The sequence below is a fragment of the Homo sapiens genome, chromosome X (assembly GCF_000001405.40).
Source record: "Homo sapiens chromosome X, GRCh38.p14 Primary Assembly".
NCBI lineage: Eukaryota > Metazoa > Chordata > Mammalia > Primates > Hominidae > Homo > Homo sapiens.
Window position 1 is genome coordinate 39,704,166 of NC_000023.11, and position 5,133 is coordinate 39,709,298.

At 39.4% G+C, this 5,133-nt stretch overlaps 2 annotated features.

Moving 5' to 3' along the window:
- Window positions 430-724: an enhancer, noted in NCBI's record as "tiled region #11205; HepG2 Activating DNase matched - State 9:DNaseU". NCBI's record gives its function as "activates a minimal TATA promoter and a strong SV40 promoter by Sharpr-MPRA in HepG2 cells {active_cell/tissue: HepG2}" and the evidence as "EXISTENCE:reporter gene assay evidence [ECO:0000049][PMID:27701403]".
- Window positions 430-724: a silencer, noted in NCBI's record as "tiled region #11205; K562 Repressive non-DNase unmatched - State 23:Low". NCBI's record gives its function as "weakly represses a minimal TATA promoter and a strong SV40 promoter by Sharpr-MPRA in K562 cells {active_cell/tissue: K562}" and the evidence as "EXISTENCE:reporter gene assay evidence [ECO:0000049][PMID:27701403]".

Below are 5,133 nucleotides of genomic sequence, written 5' to 3' on the forward strand. Positions count from 1 at the left end.
CTCCTTTGGCATCTGTGAGGGATTGGTTCCAGGACTCCCACAGATACGAAAATCCACAGAAATTCAAGTCCCTTACATAAAATGGTGAAGTATTTGCATATAACCTACACATATCTCCCTATATACTTTGTGTCATTTCTAGATTATTTATATTATATAATACAATGCCTACATGTCACTTTATTTGTGTGGATTCAACATATTAAGTTGGTGCAAAAGTAATTGTGGTAATGGCAAAAACCACAGTTACTTTTGCACCAACTTAATAGCACATGGCAAATTTGAGTTTTGTGTTTTGGAACTGTTTGGAATTTCTTTTTCCAAACATTTCTAAATATTTCAATTTGCAGTTGGTTGAATCCAAGGGTGTGGAACCCATGGACATGGAAGCCCAACTGTGTACAAAATAGAATACTATTCAGCCTTTAAAAAGGGGGAAATCCTGTCATTTGCAACAGCGTAGATGAGCCTGGAGGACATTATGCTAAGTGAAATAAGCCAGGCACAGAAAGACAAATACCGCATGACCTCACTCATATGTGGAATCTAATCAAGTTGAACTCATAGAAGTAGAGAGTAGATTGATGGTTACCGGAGGTTGGGAGGGCGGGGAGGGAGGGAATGTGGAATTGTTGATCAAAGGGTACAAAGTTCCAGATAGCCAGGAGGAATCGGGTTTGAGATCTATTGCACAACAGGGTGACTATAGTCAATAATAATGTATTGTATATTTCAAAATAAAGAATCCATTTCAAGTGTCTCACTACAGAAAATGATAGGTAAGCAAGGTGATGGATATACTAGCTTGATTTAATCATCCCATGCTGTATATATATATCCAAATATCACACTGTACCCCATAAATGTATGCAATTATTTGTCAATCAAAAATAATGTTAATCATAATTTTTTTTTTTTAAATGGAGTCTCACTCTGTCGCCTAGGCTGGAGTGCAGTGGCGCGATCTCGGCTCACTATAAATTTTTTTAAAAGATGACCCCTGACAATTTTTTTACCTCTCCTCCATTGAGAGGTAGGAGGTCTATGCCTCCTTCCGTTGAGTCTGGGTGTATGGCTACTTGATCAATAGAATATAATGAAGGTCTGTGTCAGTTTCTGGGCCTAGGCCTTAAGGAACAGGTCATCTTCTTCTTCCTGTCTCTTGGGACTCCTGCCCTTAGAACCCAGATTCCAGGCTGTGAGGAAACCTGAACAGCCTGTAGAGAGGCCCACGTGGAGAGGAACTGAGGTCCCTGGCCCTCAGCCTGGCTGAGCTCCCAGTTGGCAGCCAACTGCAACTTGCTAGCCATTTGAGTGAGTCACCTTGAAAGTGGATCATCCACTCCAAGCTGAGCAGTTCCAGCTGATGCCACACGGAGCAGAGATGAGCCTTCCTCACCAAGCTCCACTCAAATTTCAGATTCAGTGGAAAAATAAACATTGTTGTTTTAAGCCACTAAGTTTTGGAGTATTTTATTATAAATCAGTAGGTTACTGGGACACTCTGTCACTTGTAACTAAACTCTTTCAGATAGGTGCAGAGCCATTCTGTAGACCAGAAGTCTGCACATTTTGTGTGTAAAGGGCCAGAGAGTAAGTATTTTCACTTTTGCAGGCCATATGGTATCTGATACAACTATTTCACTCTCCCATTGTAGCATGAAAGCAGGCATAGACAATAAATAAAGGAATGGGTGTGGCCATGTTCCAATGAAACGTTATTTATAAAAGCAGGTGGTGGGCAGAATTTGACCCTTGGGCCATGGTTTGCTGACCCCTTCTGTAGATCGAGACTACACATTCTGCCTCCTCCCATGCCCAATTCCTTCTGTTAGTCCTTGTCCTTGTCTTGCTGTCATCCCAGAAGAGACCACTGGACATATTGTCATTATCCATCACAATGTTTTCACCAGCCAGCAGGAAAGTTAAAAAACTCAACCCTCTACTGTGCATTGAACCTGGGGCCTGACCAAAAAGCCTTCCACGAGCCTGTGATTTCTCCCAGGGAGCCCAGACATCAAAACCATAAAGACTCTTCCCCAGGCAAATCGTTACCCCCACTTGACACTCTATTTAATGGAAAGCCTTTCCCAGAAATAAGTATATTAAAATAAGCTTTGCATTTTTTACATTAACTGAAATTTGATGCAAATTGATAATAAATTACCTTCCCCTGCTCATTCATTTGGGAATCACATAAACTAGTTTACAGTTATGTATTATTACATTTCACATTAATATAGCCATAGGAAGCTAGGCTTTGGAGAAATTTGCTTCCCAGAAAACTATCAGAAATAGAGGAGGTAAAAGTGGGATTTGGTGGGATATCTGACTCTCCTAATGTGCTAGCCACTGAGAGTTGTAGAAAGTAAGGCATCAGTGCAACCCTTGAGGCCCAACTAATTTATCAAATGATCACTGTCTTATTTATCTGGCATAATTTTTGCAACTTCAGGATCTTACAGCATTCCTTTCTTTCTTTCTTCTATCCTTTCTTCCTTCCTTCCTTCTTTGCATCTTTTCTTCCTTTCTTCCACTAACTTCTATCTCAGTATCTTTGGAACCATTAGCACTACCTCTGGATGCAAAAGGTTTACAATTTAGTGGAGGTAAAGGTTAGACAAAGGTGCAAATTGACTAAAGGTATTCAAGGTAGAAGTTCTAAGTACACCTTCGCATCTAAAATAAAAGTTCAGTGGAGACTTCTGTTTAAAGATGGTGGATTGAACACACATTTATCCCTGCATCCTCTTGAAATATCACTAAACAACAAAAAGTGAATGTTTAAAAAGACAAAGCCACAAAGGCAAAGGAAATGGGCAAAGCGGCAAAGCAAGAAAAATTTAAAATATGGAAAGCAGGTGAAAGAGTAGTAACTAATTGGCAGACTTGAGAAAATGAACACTAAGCAAGCACTGAGGTTGGGGAGAGAGCCTAGAACCTCGTATGCAGCATAGAACTGCTCAAATGCCCAGAAATGAGTGACACCAGATGCCTCTAGAAGTAGAGGTAAATGGGGGGCTGAAGATAAAAGAATTGGTTAAAAGTCTGTTTAGAAGACCACACTCCAGGTTTCCTGCTCAATTTTACACAGATCTGCTACTGTCCTTCTCATGGGATGCATGGTCCCTAGACAGCATAAAAATGGAGATCTCTGGGCAGGAGGTTACCAGGCAGAGTTAAAGTGTGAGTACCATCTGAAAAAAGAGGTAAGTGAAGTTAACATGCCAAATATCAGGAATACCTATGCTCTTCTTCACTCACTCCCAGAATGATGTCAGGCAGACTTATACCCACCCCTTAGGAAGGAAACTGGAGTATCCTATTCTGAGGATTCTGGTTAGCCCAAACATAAAGGTCTGAAAATACTGATACTCACTCTTAAATATCAACTGATAGCCAAGGGTCAGCAAACACCTGTAGGAAGCCTCTAACTTGAAAAAGAGATGCCAAAGCCAATCAGCAAAAGGACATAACTTGGTAGAGACAAACACTATGCAGAGAAAAGACACCTGAAAAAAGAAAACTATTGTTAATATTATCAAAGAAATAAGATGGTGATAATAGTTGAAATTTACTGAGTATTTTTACTATGTGCAGATACTATTCTAAGCCCTTTACATGAATTAATTCATTTAATCTTCTCAATGACCCTATAAGGTAAGTAGGATTATTATCTTCATTTTTCAGATGAGAAAACTGAGGCCTAAAGAGATTAAAGAAGTTACCTAAATTTATGCAATGTGTAGGCTGGATCTAAACGCAAGCAATCTGGCTTCAGAGTCTGCGCTCTACCAAATAATTTTGCATCCCTGAAGCAAGAATAAGATGATATTTTAAAATAACTTTTGGAAAACCCCAAAACAAAACAAAAGCAGAAAAGCTCCTGAGAATTGAAAGCGAAGAAGTTAAAAAGGCATTAGGACTGTTGGAAGATAAGCATGAAGAAAGTTTCCAGAAAGTAGAGCAAAAAAGACAAAGAAATGGAAATTAGGAGTGAATTGATAAGAAAATTAAAGGCTCAGTCCAGGGGGCCCAACATCTGAATCATAGCCTTTCCAGAAGAAGAGAGAAATGAAGGAGATGCTATCTTCAAAGAAAAGAATTCAAGAAAATTTCTTAGAACTGAAAAATATGAATTTATAAAGTAAGTATCAAGCCTGATGGAAACGGCTCTACATACAGGCACACCATTGTGAAAGTTTAGAACCCAGGACAAAGAGAAGGTCCCAAAGGCTTCCAAAGAGGAAAAAAAAAAACCTGTGGGTTGCATTAAAAAGGTGAAGAATCAGAATTGAATCAGAGTTCTCAACAGCAACTGGAAGCTAAAAGATGATGGAGAAATGCCTTCAAAATGGTAAGAGTAAATCATTTCCAATTCTACATCCTACACCCAGAGAAAATATATTAAAATATTAATATGAGGAAGTACAATTTATAACCTGAAGACATTTGCAACCATGAAGTGCCTTAAAATTTACATTCTATGCAGCCTTTCTCAGAAGGCTAATGCAGGATTTCCTTCACAAAAACAGGGTAGTAAACCAAAAAAAGAAAGACATTGGATCTAGGAAACAGGAAATCTAATATGGAAGAGAATTATTACATCCCATTAAGAAAGGGGATCCCAGGAAGATGGTAAGGGAAAGACTGGGGAGGACAGTTATATAATAGGAGTAGGGAGGGAAAGAGTCCAAGTTAGAGTAGGCCAGAAGATTCCAGAAGTAATATCTTTAAGATGATGGAATTAACAGAAAGTTGTATGTGCTTGATTATATTAAGAGGAGATTTAGACAGCAAGGAAAGATCTGGAGGTTAACAATAGCGTACATAGAAAAATGCCTCAGTGATCTATTTCTGTGTAACAATCCACTCAAAACTTTAATGACTGAAAACAACCACCATTTTATTTGGTCACAATTTTGAGGATCAACAACTTGGGCTGGGCTCATCTGAGTGGTTCTGCTGGTCTTGCCTACTTATGCCTCTGCAGTCATTTGGTGGTTCGCTTGAGGCTGGATGGTCCAAGACAGCCTCTCTCACATTCTGGTGGTTGCCAGGCTATTGGCTGGGAAGTCTCAGTTTTCCTCCACATGGCCTTGCCAGCAGGATAGCTCAGACTCAATCACATCA